The sequence below is a fragment of the Homo sapiens genome, chromosome 5 (genome assembly GCF_000001405.40).
Source record: "Homo sapiens chromosome 5, GRCh38.p14 Primary Assembly".
Lineage (NCBI taxonomy): Eukaryota > Metazoa > Chordata > Mammalia > Primates > Hominidae > Homo > Homo sapiens.
The window spans coordinates 72,861,049-72,877,423 of record NC_000005.10 but is presented as its reverse complement, the minus strand read 5'-3'; the positions used below and the strand labels follow the sequence as shown (position 1 = coordinate 72,877,423).

At 37.8% G+C, this 16,375-nt stretch overlaps 1 protein-coding gene across 10 annotated transcripts in view; it reads right to left on the bottom strand.

Moving 5' to 3' along the window:
* The window catches only part of TNPO1 (transportin 1), a 97,728-nt gene that overhangs the window by 36,965 nt on the left and 44,388 nt on the right, over positions 1-16,375 (bottom strand). For 9 of the 10 annotated variants that reach the window (NM_001364292.3, NM_002270.4, XM_005248501.3 and 6 more), the window contains 5 exons: positions 15,510-15,616; positions 11,695-11,828; positions 4,704-4,785; positions 1,687-1,809; positions 78-196 (listed from right to left, as the gene is read on the bottom strand). In NM_001364292.3, the coding sequence (NP_001351221.1) occupies positions 78-196; positions 1,687-1,809; positions 4,704-4,785; positions 11,695-11,828; positions 15,510-15,616 (565 nt within the window). Of the gene's footprint in view, positions 1-77; positions 197-1,686; positions 1,810-4,703; positions 4,786-10,575; positions 11,829-15,509; positions 15,617-16,375 lie in introns of those variants that run through there. The other variant, NM_001364296.2, reaches the window with a different exon arrangement.

Below are 16,375 nucleotides of genomic sequence, written 5' to 3'. Positions count from 1 at the left end.
TTTTATAAAAATATGAAAATGAAGAATCACTTAAGAAATTAAAGAACAAGGCAGCATTTATAAGAGGGAACACTTACTTAGGAAGATGCCTTACGAGTACATCTTTGCATATTGGCTGTTCAGCTAAAGTTAGCCAAAATTCACAGGCTTCTAAAGCCACATTTTCATCTTGATCTTGAGTCCTCTGTAGCATGTACTGGAAACACAATATCCTTAATATTAGTCAGTTTAAAAATCACACCATTAGTATCAATTCAGTCCTATTATCAAGCAAGCTTTTGACCTTATGGTTTTCAACCTAGGCAATTTTTTTTTTTTTTTTTTTTTTTGAGATGCAGTCTCACTCTGTCGCCCAGGCTGGAATGCAGTGGCGTGAACTCGGCTCACTGCAAGCTCTGCCTCCTGGGTTCATGCCATTCTCCTGCCTCAGCCTCCCGAATAGATGGGACTACAGGCGCCTGCCACCACACCCGGCTAATTTTTTTGTATTTTTAGTAGAGACAGGGTTTCACCGTGTTAGCCAGGATGGTCTCGATCTCCTGACCTCGTGATCTGCCCACCTCGGCCTCCCAAAGTGTTGGGATTACAGGTGTGAGCCACCGCACCCGGCCAGAATTTGAATTTTTAAAGTTTCCTAGGTGACTATAAAATACAGTTAAATTTAAGAAACACTGATTTAAACTGCTACTCAATGAAAAGTGTTCAGTGAATGTATTGTTTCTGTGTAGTTTTTTTATGATACTACTGAGATTTTTGAAATGTGAATGTTAATCAAATATTAAGCCTTCTTAGAAACATAAAAATTAAGAACTCATTATATATTTCTTAAAATGAAGACTCTACAACTACTCAAGCTGTCTCTTGTATATAGACTTTCACGTATTTAAAGTGACATATACATACTGAAATTATAAAGATAATTTTTCATTTGGGAAGTAGTAGTGACATCTCTTAGTGCGAATATAATTTGTAATTCTCAACAAAATAGATTTCTCATGTCCTCTGGAACACACCAAGCCAAATTCACTCACGTGATTTTCACAACGTACCTGAGGGTAGAAGTGCCAACTAATAGACTGTACACATCCTCTTACGGACTGAAACATCTCACCTAACAAAATATGCCCACACAACAGTGTCATAGGCCAACCCCTATTACATGATACATCATGTCCTACTCTTTTGCTACTGAGTATTGTGGAAGAAAGAACTGTAACATTATAAATTAGGCTCCCCAGCTGTGACCAAGCAACTGATAAAATTTCTTCACTTTAGTTAACACTAAACTTTCAATCAGTCCCGCCTGACTTTTCAAAGAAAAAACAGGCCTACCTCATGCAGCCATGTGTAAAGTTTTAGAACAGGAGTTGCTGCATACCACGAATGCTAGCCTTTTAACAGATCTTAGACTGCAACCTTTAAAAAAGATCCTCTCTTCTCTCCACCATATGGAACTTTGGAAGTGAAAAGGAGGCTCTAGATAACATACTACTTAAAACACTTCCAAAGTTATACAGTATGTACAACTATACCCAGAAATACAAAACTCCCCACAAAGATAACTTATAATTTTAAGACAATTATAACTATTTTATAGTCCCCTTCCCATCCGGTATGTTGTATTTTCTATCTAGTATTTCTCTTAGGGGAAAGATGATGAAAGAGCCTTTAAATTGCCAGTGTTACCTCAACTATATTATGCATGTGAGGAAGCAGGCGATCCATTCGAACTTCGAGCAACATCACAAGTGCTCGGCACACATTTTTCCGTACCTCTGGTTCTTCATCACCAGCTAATGCAAAGAGATTCTGTTGCACAAGAAATAATTTTTTCTAGTTTTAGAAAGGCTTACACACAAGTAATAAGTAATCTGCAAGTTGGTGACATTTAAAGAAACCCTACAAAGGTACCAAAAACTGACTGAATTGGCCTACAATATTAGATTACAAGAATTAAATGTGGAATAACTGACAAAGATTATGATTTTGATAAAAGATGAAGAGCTATTCTTTTCTGATAGAGTACAATCAGCTGTACTTTGAGGAAATTTTTAGTTTTTAAGAAACCATGTCATTAGGACATAGGAGCATTTGTTTGCTCACCCAGAAGCAGAGACAAAAGACTATTCCCTACCAACCCTGATTTTTAAGGTGAGAGGTGGTAATAGATTCAAGATTTATAAAAAGGTGATACAGATTCAATAATCGACAAATATTAGTATACACTGATTTTCTAACTTAACCCTAAACTGATGTTGTTCCATAAAATTAGTAATAAATATTATGCTGTTCCCTACGTCTGCAAGTAAAAAGCAATGTCTGAATGGACAACAGACTATTTTATCTTCAAAACTCTAAGACGTTATTATTCAATTTTACAAATAAGGAAATAAATTAATAGAAGTTAAGTAACTTGATAACCAGCAGAAGATCTGAATCTGGCTTTCATGGAATCAGAGTTCACACACTCATTTCCCTACACCAACAAGCTTCCACTAGAAGAAAAAGACATCTCTCAGAGTGGGGATGTGAGAGGAAAACACAATGAAGCCTTCCTCATGTCACACATAAAGTCTTACTTTATTTACACATACATGTATTAAAAGCAGTAAAACAAGCATTTAAAAAGTTAAGTAACATCCAATGTGTCCCACTGTCTTTTTCCAGGAAATCACAGAAATCCTCTACAAAATGAACCTAAAATCTCATTATAAGAAAGAGGAGAAATTCAACGATCAAATGGGACACTGTGTGAAGTACTATTGCAGCATTTTTAAAATGTTGATTTCCCCAAGTCCTGCTTCCACATTTGACACTCTCAAAACTACGTAGTTCCTGTTTTAATTGTATTTTACATACAAAAGAGCACTATTTTCCCAGCAGGCATTGCCATTAACAGTACATCCTCCATTAAATTTTATTAAAAGATTTCATTAATTTACTCTAGAGAACAGCAACTGGGTTGGGGGTGGGGATACCCAATGCCATCATCTTGCATTTGTCACTTTTGTTACTACTGTCAATGAATACCCAGCTTTGCCAAGGTTATACATTATAGCCATGTACTGGTAACCAATAAACTTTTCATCAATATGTTAGACTTAGCAGACATGATACCATGAAAACAATGGCAAGTGAAGAAAATCAGTTTACTTATTCACTTGGCAAATTGCTATTGAGGGCCTACTATATGTTAGAGGCACTTCCTCCAGAGGTTTACTGTTTTTGTAGGGTAGAGAATTGGCTAAATCCTGTAGGACTATCAAGTAGTAAACAAATATTAACATATTTAATAGTAAAGCAAAATATTTTAAAATGTTAGAAAATGTTTCTGCCTCACTTGCTGAGTACCGTCCTATGAAATTTTTATTTTCAGAGATAATTCAATTTCATTTATTTTAGATTATATTTCCTTATAAGGTGCTGGTATGTCTATCATTGTCCCCTTTATTAAACTGTGAAAGAGTAATACTAAAAGAAAACACCAGGATAATTGCAACAGAAATACTACTATTAATACTTTAATAGCTAACATGAAGTGCCTGCTTACTCTGTGGCAGCCATTGTTCCAATTTACTTATATCAACTAGGTTTATAACAATCCAACAAGGTAGGTCAATTATTGACTCATTTTACAGATGATATAAAGAAAACATCAGTTAAATAAAGCATCTAAGGTTAAAAGCTACTAAACTGAGACGCTGGATTTGAACACCAATAGTCTACTCCAGACCTCTAGTATTATCCACTACATTATACTACCTCTAGACTAGACTGAAAGAAAACACCTTGCAGGCATAAAATTTAAGTATCCCTAGTATCAAACACAGTATCTGTTCCATAGTAGGTAGTAGTCAGTAAAACTATTTAAGACACATTTTGGTTTTAACTTGTAAATGGCTAAAGGATCTTTATGGCTACTACTCTTAGTTTATTGGTAAAAGATGCTCAGAAAGAAGCTGGTCAATTTAAGTGACGAGAAAAAAAGTAACGTAACCCCCCCTACTCTTCCTTATAATTTCCCAACAGTAGTATCAGCAGTCTGACTTCTAAGGGACTTTTAAAATTCCATTTCATGAAAATAAAAGTGAAGGTGCTTAAGGAACTTTAACAATCCTTTTAATTGTTATCAAGTAGCAGAGATTTTGAGAAGAAATTGTGGTGCTTATGGTTCCTGGCCAGAAAATTATGCTCTTTTCTTTCCACTTTTATCAGAAAGTTCAAAATGCCTAAAGAGTCTATTTTTCCTGATGCCTCTAATTTTACAATGGAAACCAATGGAAAATACTGTCCTTGTAGTCTGTGCCTTCAGATTCTACCAAATGAACTTAATCTAACCTCACCAATTTTTCACATTTCAAAAACTGCATGAGCTGAGGGACTTGGTTTCCATATGCAATTTGAACAGTATATTGAAGGAAAAATTTTTAAAGTAGTCAAGATACTAAACATACCCCGCCACCAAAATCAGTGTTTGTAGAATGATACAAGTAGAAAAATTAGTAAAAGTGCCTTCTCAGCTAACAAAAGTTAGTCTATCCCATATCCAGTTTTAATACTATCAGAAATAATTTAATTAAATATTGAGTTTAGAATTATAAATGATTCTTGTTTTAAAGCAAAACTACATGCAGTTAGCATCACCTAACCTTCTCAAAAAAAAAAAGCTGGGGGGTTGGGAGGGAGACAAGAACAAGTCTTACCTCAATAAAAGAATCAATGTGCAACATTAGAGCTTGAGTCCTACTGATGATAAACTGATTGACACATGCAACAGCGTGAGACCTAGAAACAAAGTTTAAAATTTAACATATGCTCATTGTAACTTTGTTCTATCTATAGAAAATTGGTAAAAACATTCCTCCATAAAAATATTATGATATGTCTATCAATATACCCACTAAAAAGAATACGTCAAACTTCTGTATCAACAAGGAAAGAATTTGAATGATATACTAAGTGCAAAACGCAAGCTGCAGAGCAATATGTATTTCTAAGCAACTGAAAAATGTTAGAAAGGACATGTGCAAATTTTTAATAGTGCATACCCATAAAGAGTGGAGGTTGGGGAGGGGCAAAATTTTTTTTTTTAGATGCCTACAGATTTAAAAATGATAGGTAAACATTCCTTTTGAAACTAAAAATGGAGAATAGTCCATGTGTTCTGGCATATGCAATTCAATTGCTCAGCAGTTCTTATTGACACCAACTTTAAAAATTTACTCTTAATCTAATCATTTCTCACTGCTTTCATTTCTCTCAACCAAGCCATGATCTCTGATCTCTTACCAGGGTTAATGAAATAGGCTGTACTTGGTTTCCTGACTTCCATTGTGCCAAACCCCACTACAGCCTGTTTGACACACACAGACCACACTATACTCTCATTCAGATTGCTGCAATAAAACTTAATCTACTTTTTCTACAAAAGGTCAAACAGTAAATATTTTAAGCTTTATGGGCCACATGAAGACCTTTGTTGTCATTTTTTTCCCTCTTAATTACAACCTCTTAAATTTAAAAATCATCCTTACCTTGCAGGTCATGGGCTAAATTTGGCTCCATGGGACATAGTTTGCTGACTACTTGCCTAGACATTCCTTTATACTGTGGCTCCTCCCTTACCCCCTAACTTCAATTCCCATTATGCTGCTACAACCCAAAGTTTCTTTCTTTTGTCACTCTAAAAGGCTGATTCCTAATTCCAGAGACTTCTCACTTGCTGTTCTGTCTTAAACATCCTTCACCATCTTTCATAGACTCACTTCCTTACTTTGTTCAGTCTTTGCACAAACGTTTCCTTTACAGACAGCCATTTACATAAAGTATCTCTGAATCACTGTCTATCCCTGATCTCATTATTTTTCCATTGTACTCATGACTGTATGAAATCATATTACTTATTCATTATCTGTCCTGTCTCCTCTTCTGAAATATAACCCCATGAAAACCTTTCTTTGTCTTAACCACTGTGCCAAAAACAGTTGATTTTTGGTTCTGCAGTTACAGCAAAGCACATAAACATTTACCAAGATAACATTAAGTGAAAAAAGCATACTATGGGGAGCTCAACCCCTTAAATGTTCAACACAGGGTAAGCTACCTATGCTTTAAAGTGTGTTTTTCTCATTCTATAAAACTACTACTGGCTGGGCGCAGTGACTCACGCCTGTAATCCTAGCACTTTGGGAGGCCGAGGCGGGCGGATCACTTGAGGTCAGGAGTTCTAGACCAGCCTGGCCAACATGGTGAAACCCTGCCTCTACTAAAAATACAAAAATTAGCCGGGCCTGGTGGTGCATGCCTGTAATCCCAGCTATTCGGGAGGCTGAGGCAGGAGGCAGGAGAATCGCTTGAACCCGGGCAGCGGAGGTTGCAGTGAGCCGAGATCGCGCCACTGTACTCTAGCCTGGGCGATGGAGAGAGACTCAGTCTCAAAAAAAACCAACTCTGTCTCAAAAACAACAGCAACCTACAATTCATTCATTTGTTGGGGGGATTAAACTACATGAGCTAATATATATGTTAAGTACTTGGCATAGTAAACAAATGGAAAAAAAATACAATAAAGTCTTTTAAAGGGCCTTTAAATCAAGAACAGAAATCTTTTAACTTGCATTTTTTTTGTGTGCATGTAAGGCAAAATTTAAAGGCAGAAATCTCTCCTATCCCCAACCTCCAGAGGCACCTACTACTAGCCTCCCCAAACCATTTTTAGAAACTTGGGAACAGTTAGGACTTACATTTTAAATTAAAAGAAACAGTGTGACGTGCTTTCTTTGGAAGTTTAATATAGTTTCTATACATCAGCAATGAAGGAAAAAACTAGAAAGTGTAACTTAAATGCTACCATTTACAATAGTATCATAAGACCAAGTAAGTGCCTGGGAATACATTTAATATGTAATATGTTCAAGGCCTCTAAAAAGAAAAGTAGAAAACTTCATTAAAAACAAGCAATTGGCTGGGCACGGTGGCTCACGCCTGTAATCCCAGCACTCTGGGAGGCTACGGTGGGCGGATCACCTGAGGTCAGGAGTTGGAGACCAGGCTGGCCAACATGGTGAAACCCCATCTCCACCAAAAATAAAAAATTAGCTGGGAGTGATGGCATGCGCCTGTAATTCCAGCTATACTTGGGAGGCTGAGGCAGGAGAATCGCTTGAACCTGGGAGGTGGAGGTTGCAGTGAGCAGGGATAATGCCATTGCACTCTAGTGTGGGAGACAAGAGTGAAACTCCGTCTCAAAAAAAAAAAAAAAAAAAGCAATTAGTATTGTGAAAATGACTATTTCTTCTAAATTGATCCACAGATTTAATGTTATTCCAACGTAAATTCCAACAAGGCTTTTCATAAAACTTGACAACTGTAGAATTTATAAGGAAGAGAAAAGGCATTCCTACTGTCCTACTGAAAGCTCTAAATATCATTTCCCAATAAAAGGAATCAGATCTAGGCCAGAAATACAGATGATAAACTTGGAATGCTATGGATATCTGTGTATATAAAAATAAAACTTCCTTGTATTGATTTCTGGTGATCAAAGGCAATAACAAAGGCAGAATAATTACTCATGTCACATATTCATAATCAATATCAATTTGTTAATTAGATCTGTCTGATACTATATAAATGGCATTTGTTTGTGAAGAATGAATTTTTCTCCAATATGATCTCTTCCTTATAGATTATAAGAAAATATTCCCCCAGAAGCATCTGAGGTATTTAGTAAGCTCAGAGTAATTCTGTTAAATCATGTATATTTTCAATTCTAATTTCTCATCCTGAAAGTCTGCATATTCCAGGTCAAATTCTGATTTTTAGCCTTTCTTCAACTCATATTTTTATAAGGTAAAACTGTCTTTATTTATTTTTTTGAGATGGAGTCTCACTCTGTCACCCAGGAGGGAGTGCAGTGGCGCAATGTCAGCTCACCACAACCTCCGCCTCCTGGGTTCAAGTGATTCTCGTGCCTCAGCCTCCCAAGTAACTGGGATTACAGGTGCATGCCACCATGCCAGGCTAACTTTTGTATTTTTAATGGAGGTAGGATTTTGCCATGTTGGCCGGGCTGGTCTCAAACTCCTGACCTCAGGTGATCCACTCGCCTCAGCCTCCCAAAGTGCTGGGATTACAGGTGTGAGCCACTACGCCCTGCCATTTATTATTTTAAAAGTTCTGCCAATTTTATATGTTGTAAAACTGTAGGCCTTATTTTCATTCCATTCTGGGACATAATATAAATTTACCTTATAAATAGGAGTAACGTTACCCAAAATTTTTTTCAAGTTGAGATAAGCCAGAACACAATAAAAATACGGAAAAATTATCTTAATATAGTTTGAGCTGTTTGTACAACTCTTTCCTTGCTGTGTAGAAATTCATTGCAATATGTTATAAACTTTTTTTATTTTGAGATGGAGTTTTGCTCTTGTTGCCCATGCTGGAGTTGCAATGGCACGATCTCGGCTCACTGCAACCTCCGCCTCCCGGGTTCAAGTGATTCTCATGCCTCAGCCTCCCGAGTAGCTAGGATTACAAGCACCCGCCACCACGTCCAGCTAATTTTTTGTATCTTTAGTAGAGACAGGGTTTCACCATGTTGGCCAGGCTAGTCTTGAACCCCTGACTTCAGGTGATCCACCGCGCCCAGCCTAAACTTTAAGTAACTGCAACTTGTTAAAAAAAGAAAAAAGCCTCAAACACTCCAATTTTTGCTCTAAGATATATCAGAATTCAATTTGAAGCTTTAGTCATGAAACAGCAATAGAATAAAATAGAGGGCCCATTAATACACCTATGCACGCATATAACTAAGCATATAACAGAGGTGACATTTTAAACTGATGGGGAGAAGGGACTATAAAATAAATGTGACAGCAAGAAAAAGTTACATAAATGGAAAAGACAGAATGTTTATCTACCCCATAACACACCCACAAATGCCTGATATATTATTTTGTGTTTTTTTTTTTTTTTTTTTTTTTTTTTTGAGACGGAGTCTTGCTCTGTCATCCAGGCTGGAGTGCAGTGGCACAATCTCAGCTCACTGCAAGCTCCGTCTCCCAGGTTCATGCCATTCTCCTGCCTCAGCCTCCCGAGTTGCTGGGACTACAGGTGCCCGCCACCATGCCCGGCTAATTTTTTGTATTTTTAGCAGAGGCGGGGTTTCACCATGTTAGCAAGGATGGTCTCGATCTCCTGACCTCGTGATCCGCCTGCCTCGGCCTCCCAAAGTGCTGGGATTACAGGCGTGAGCCACCGCGCCCGGCCATATTAAGCTCTTAAATGTCAAAAAGCCCTTAACATTTTAAACTCTTAGTAAAGACAAAAAAGGATTAAGATATTCTCTACACACATAACTGATAAAGGATGAGAATTCCTGTAAATCAATGGAGTACAAATAACCTAGTAGAAAAAAGGAAGAGACAACAACAAGATAAAGGCAATAAACATACAAGATCTTCAACATCATTAATGATAGCAAAGTATTATCAAGACCATAATGAAACACCAAATATCTATTTGATTGGCAACACTTAAAAAATATGCTAATTGTCATGCAATGGAATATTACAGAGGAGTCAAAATGAGCTATAGTGATTCAGTACAGATGAATGCAACATAACATTAAAGTTGCCTATGTCTACATTCAGTACTGTGCAGTTCTTACAATGCTAAAAACTAAGATATATCTCACCCTTTGCATATGCATGCAATAAAATTATCTATCAAGAAATGTAAGGGAAGTATGAAATTGTGACTTAGATGTAGACTGTTGTCAAGGTCTTCATTTTGTTTCAGGTGGTGGATCTGATTGCTTATGTTATTAAAAATAATATATAACTAAAGGCTAAATACGAGTAGGCCATGATGAGAATGTCATCAACTAAGAATAATTCAATTCTGAGTACCTCAAGTCTGATAAAATGGTTCTTATTTTTAAATTGCTTAGTCACTGCCTATAGAACTAGGCAATATAGTTTCCTATACTCTAATTTTATATTCTTGAAGTCCAACAGTTACGTTGAGAGAGAACGCTTAAGAGTACATAGTAAATGTCAGTTAAACTACATTAATAAGGTATTAAATAATGTAGAATATCATATTAAAGATGGATGATACATTTAGTATATATTTACAGTAGATAGTTATTACCCAAATATACATTAAAGAGAAAAATGCTAAAAGTATGTACAACAGAATCTCAAATGGGTATTAATCAACATTCATGGAAAGGAATTTTTTTTTTTCAGGCAGGGTCTTATTCCATCACTCAGGCTAGAGCACAGTGGCTCACTGCAGCCTTGAATTCCTGGGTTCAACTGATTCTCCTGCTTGAGCCTCCAGAGTAGCTAGGACTATAGGCACATACACCACTACACTCAGCTAATTTTTTAAACTTATTTTTTGTAGAGAAAGGGTCTTGCTATGTTGCGTAGGCTGGTCTCTAACTCCTGGCCTCAAGCAATCCTCCTGCCTCAGCCTCCCAAAGCGCTGTGATTTTAGGTGAAATATTTCTGAATTGCTCTACTTTACCTAACATTTTAATCAAATGACCATCTACAAAATAAAAATCGTGAAAAAATATTTATTAATATTTAATATCCAGCAATGGTGTATCGATTACCAGAAATATGATTTTTGAATTTTTTCTGTTTTTCTTTTTTGAGACAAGGTCTCATTCTGTCGCCCAGGCTGGAGTGCAGTGGTACAATCTCAGTCCACTGCAACCTCCTTCTTCTGGGCTTAAGCAATCCTCCCACCTTGACCCTTCAAGTAGCTCGGACCACAGGTGTGTGACACCATGCCCAGCTAATTTTTATATTTTTTGTACAGATGGGGTCTCATCACGTTGCCCAGGCTAGTCTTGAACTCCTGAGCTCAAGCGATCCACCCACCTGGGCCTCCCAAAGTGTTAGGATTACAGGTATGAGCCACCAGGCCCAGCTGTTTTTTTATTACTGAGAATCAGTCACAAAAAGTGAAGTATGTATATTGCCACATTTTCATTATCTTAGTTAAAATGTTAAAAGGGGGAAACTTCCTGGAAACGTGAACTCCTATCCAGTTAACTATGCCAGAAATAACAACATTATTATAATGTTGTAATAATGGAAAACCAAATACCTGCATGTTCTCACTTATAAGTGGGAGCTAAACATATGGTACACCTCGACATAAAGATGGGAACAACAGCCACTGGGGAATATAAGAAGAGGGAGGGAGAGGGCCAAACTAGCTAATGGGTACTATGGTTACCACCTAGGTGATGGATTCATTTGTACTCTAAACCCCCAGCATCCACGCAATACGCCTTTGTAACAAACCTGCACATGTATCCCGATTCTAAAATCAAAGCTAAAAAAACAAAAACAAAAACAAAAAACCCACAACTAATCCTGGCCTTAAATAAAGGAAGTTAGAAGATGCCTGTTAACTATCATGAATATAATTAACCACTGTAAAAGGCACAAAACTTTTATCATGTTTAACAAAAATTTCCTCACAAAGAGTCAACATTTCACAGGTTTTGTTACTGAAGTAGTCAATTTCAATTACATAAGTTCACCTCTCTGGAACATCCAATATCTTTTGATCTTTTGCTAATGTCAAAAATATTAGGTAATGAAAACTAAGATAATGGTCAGGTTTATATCACAGTTAATCAATTAGTACTGGCAATATAAGTACCTTATTTTTGGACTACTATGCTTGAAGAACTGTAAAAATTTGGGAATCATGATGTTGAGAGGACGATCTAAAACATCACTGTCTAAAATCTCAGCAGAATCTTCACAAATCTTCTGAAGGGCACCAAATGCTCCCTGTAAGAGACACATTTAAATTATCAGAATTTGTTAAAAATGAAGCCATTTGAAAACAAACTGAAGAATGCTGATTAATTTGTATGGACTAATGTTCTCAGCCCACATAAAATGCCTTCTAAAATCCATAAATTTAATCCTTCAATTTTTTTTTTTTTGAGACGGAGTCTTGGTGTGTCGCCCAGGCTGGCAGTGGCACCATCTCGGGTCACTGCAACTTCTGCCTCCCGGGTTCAAGTGACTCTCCTGCCTCAGCCTCCCGAGTAGCTGGGATTACAGGTGCCTGCCATTGTGCCCGGCTAAGTTTTGTATTTTTTGTAGAGATGGGGTTTCACTGTGTTGGCCAGGCTGGTCTCAAACTCCTGACCTCAGCTGGTCCGCCTGCCTCAGCCTCCCAAAGTGCTGGGATTACAGGCATGGGCCACCATGCCCGCTCTAATATTCAATTTTAAAACAAATTATTATATCATCGAGTATGTAAAAATCTCAGTTAAAATACAAGGGTATATTTTAGTTTTAGCATTAAATGACTTAGAAGTGGAGGATATTTTGGTTGGCAGGAATTAAATATCAGTTTGTTTAAATTAAATATAAAACTCTACATTTACATAGAAGAGTAGTTAACCACTGTAATACTTTTCTTTTTGAAGCACAGAGAGGTCATTAATACCATTAAAAAGTTACTTAGGCCAGGTGTGGTGGCTCAAGCCTGTAATCCCAGCACTTTGGGAGGCCGACGCGGGTGGATTACCTGAGGTCAGGAGTTCAAGACCAGCCTAGCCAACATGGTGAAACCCTGTCTCTACTAAAAACAAAAAAATTAGCTGGGCGTGGTGGTGCATGCCTGTAATCCCAGCTACTCTGGAGGCTGAGGCATGAGAATCACTTGAACCTGGGAGGCAGAGGGTGCAGTGGGCCGAGATGGCACCACTGCACTCCAGCCTGGGTGACAAAGCAAAACTCTGTCTCAAAAAAAGGAAAAAAAAGTTACTTACATATAGAAAAAAAAAGTTACTTACATATAAAAGTATTCACTGGGTAACTGGTGACAAAATCTGTTGCAAGGGCAGGCAGTGCAAATTGGCAACCATTTTCCTATAATCATTTTAATACTAAAGGGGATAATCCAGAGACTTTGTACATAACATGTAACCTACTAGTTACCCACCCACCTACTTTACTGTTTATACTATATAATTCCATCAGCGGCAACTTGATGCTTATTCTCCATAGTACAGTTTTAAAGTGTCCAACAGAAGGTAAAATCCTTTAAGGAAACTACCCAACATCCTTTTAGATTTTATAATATCTTAAAAATATTAAATCTGAAAATATTTTTAAGTCTAAAATTTAATCAATATATTAAATTTCAAACTTCAATTTAATATGCATTAAATATCAGGAATTTTAATTAACATGCTAAAATAGTCATATTCAATTGTTAAGGTTTTTTTTTTAAAAAAGCTTTACTTCTGAAAGCCTATTACATCAAATTAAATGTGAACTTGTTACCCATGTGGCAATTAAAAATTTCAAATAAGAACAAACATTTAGCTATCACTCCATACCAACATCTGGAAAACCACTATCTTTAGTTCAGATGGATGGGAATATTGTTTATTTACAGTATGACTTCTATGTAGTACACTAGCTCAACAATTTCACAATTACTGCAGCTTAAATTTTTTATTCTTGGAAAGCACTTGCTTAAAATTTTGATCTTCTTTTATGTTATTACCATCACACCAAAGCACTATTTAAATGCAATCAACTGTCACATGATGACTTATTATTTAGCTTTTCTGTAATCTGTAATCTTATCAGTGTATTTCCAAAGCCTTTTTTTTTTTTTTTTTGAGATGGCTGGAGTGCAGTGGTGCAATCTCAGTCCACTGCAATCTTCGCCTCCTGGGTTCAAGCAATTCTCCTGCCTCAGCCTCCAGAGTAGCTGAGATTACAGGCATTCGACACCATGCCTGGCTAATTTTTGTATTTCAGTAGAGATGGGGTTTTACCATGTTGGCCAGGCTGGTCTCTCAAACTCCTGACCTCAAATGATCCACCTGCCTCAGTCTCCCAAAGTGCTGGGATTACAGGTGTGAGCCACCACAGCCTCCTGAGTAGCTGGGACCACAGGCACACATCACACCTGGCCAATTTCTTCTAATAGGGTTTTACCATATTGCCCAGGCTGGTCTTGAACTCATGCAATCCACCCACCTAGGCCTTGGGATTACAGGTGTGAGCCACCATGGCGGATAGTTTCTTTTTTCCCTTTTAGGTTAGGTTATTCCTGTGGGGTTTTTTTGTTGTTGACAGGTTATTCCTGTGCCTGCCCTGCCTTCAACCTCCGCTCTTTGAGAGGTATAGGAGTCGATGCTTTACAGAGTCAAAACACCAAATATGGTTTCCACAAAAAATAGATTTCTACCCAAATTGGAAGCCTGCTAATTAAAGAGATACTTACTGTATCCACTAACCATGAGAAATCATCCTCTCTCCCCAAACAAAAAGGATGCTAGTGATCTAATCAGTGGCAAAAAAACCCCAAAAAAACAACAAAAAAAACCACACACACACACACACACACACACACACACACAAAAACCCACAGGTCAGAGTTAATGTATGATTACAACGAAGACAATGGTCCGGCGCAGTGGCTCACACCTGTAATCCTAACACTTTGGGAGGTTGAGACAGGTGGATCATTTGAGTCCAGGAGTTCAAGACCAGCCTGTCCAACATGGTGAAACTCTGTCTCTACTAAAAATACAAAAAAATTAGGCGGGCGTGGTGGCTCATGCCTGTAATCGCAGCTACTCGGGAGGCTGAGGTGGGAGAATCACTTGATTCTGGGAGGCAGAGGTTGCAGTGAGCTGAGATTGCACCACTGCACTTCAGCCTGGGCAACAGAGCGAGACCCTGTTTGAAACAAACAAACAAACAAAAAAAACGAAGACAAGTTTAGTGAAGTGCAGTGGCTCATGCCTGTAATCCCAGCACTTTGGGAGGCTGAGGCTGGAAGATTTCTTGAGCTCAGGAGTTCAGGGTCAGCCTGAACAACAGCGCGACCCCATCTCTACCAAAAAAAAAAAGAAAAAATTAGTCTAGCATGGTAGTACATGCCTGTAGTCCCCACTACTTTGGGAGGCTGACGTAGGAGGATTGTTTGAGCCCAGGAGGTTGAGGTGAGCTATGATGGTGCCACTGCACTCCAGCCTGGGAAACAGAGTGAGACCCTGTCTCAAAAAACAAAAACAAAAACAAAAAACACAAGTTCAGCATCCCTTAGATATCTCATATAAGAGGCATAAAAACAATTTAGAGAAGCTAAAAAAGTACTCATGGTCCAGGAATTTGGTAAATTTCATTCTATCTTTAACTGATTAGGCTTGACAAAAACTGTATATTACATACATATACATCCAAGAATAATTTTAGAACAGAAAAGCAAGATACGTCCTTGTGTGAAATACAGTAAAAGAGGTTTATAATGTAACAGTTTTTATAGAAAAATAAATGATTTACAAATGTAATATAACACAAAGGTAACTTTAGGTTTCTAAGTTTTGAGAAGCTGTATGTTTCAGAGGAACTATTTTTCCCAAAAGCTGCTAATACACAACATGACAAGAAAAACAGAAAACACCCAATTATGTATGAAACAAATATCCTTACCTCACAGGTATTATAATCTTCAGAATCCAACAGGCTACAGAGTTTTGGTAAGAGGTCAGGCCAATTCTGCAATTCTCCCTTGGAGGCTATAGTTGTGATCAAAATACCTTGAACAAAAACACACTTCTTTAGGAAATCCAACAGCATTATGTCAGGCATTGCCATGTGAGCAACTGTGTGCACAAACACATTTTATGTAAATAATAACATTTGGCCAGGCATGGTGGCTCATGCTGTAATCCCAGCATTCTGGGAGGCCGAGGCGGGCAGATCTCTTGAGCCCAGGAATTCCAGACCAGCCTGGGCAACATGATGAAACCCTCTCACTACTAAAAATACAAGAAAATCAGCTGGGCGTGATGGTATGCGCCTGTGATCCCAGCTATTCAGGAGGCTGAAGTGAGAGGATCACCTGAGTCAAGGAGGTCGAGGCTGCAGTGAGCCATGACTATGAGACCACACTCATGCCTGGGCAGAGTGAGACCCTGTCTCAAAAAATTAGTAACACTCACCACCAACACCCATATCACCATTCCGTACCTTGTGGAAAAAAAACCTCACATAAACCAGATCTGTTTCTAATAGTGTTTTTCAACATTTCACCCTCTAAGGTTTTTTGAGTTAAATTTACCAAGTATAAGAATGCAACTTCTTTTTCTGCCATAATACCAAGAATAGCTCCACCAATTAAAATTAATTCTAATGGCTGGGCACGGTGGCTCACACCTGTAATCCCAGCACTTTGGGAGGCCGAGGTGGGTGGATCACATGAGGTTGGGAGTTCAAGACCAGCCTGACCAACATGGAGAAACCCCATCTCTACTAAAAATACATAACTAGCCGGGCATGTGGTGCATGCCTGTAAT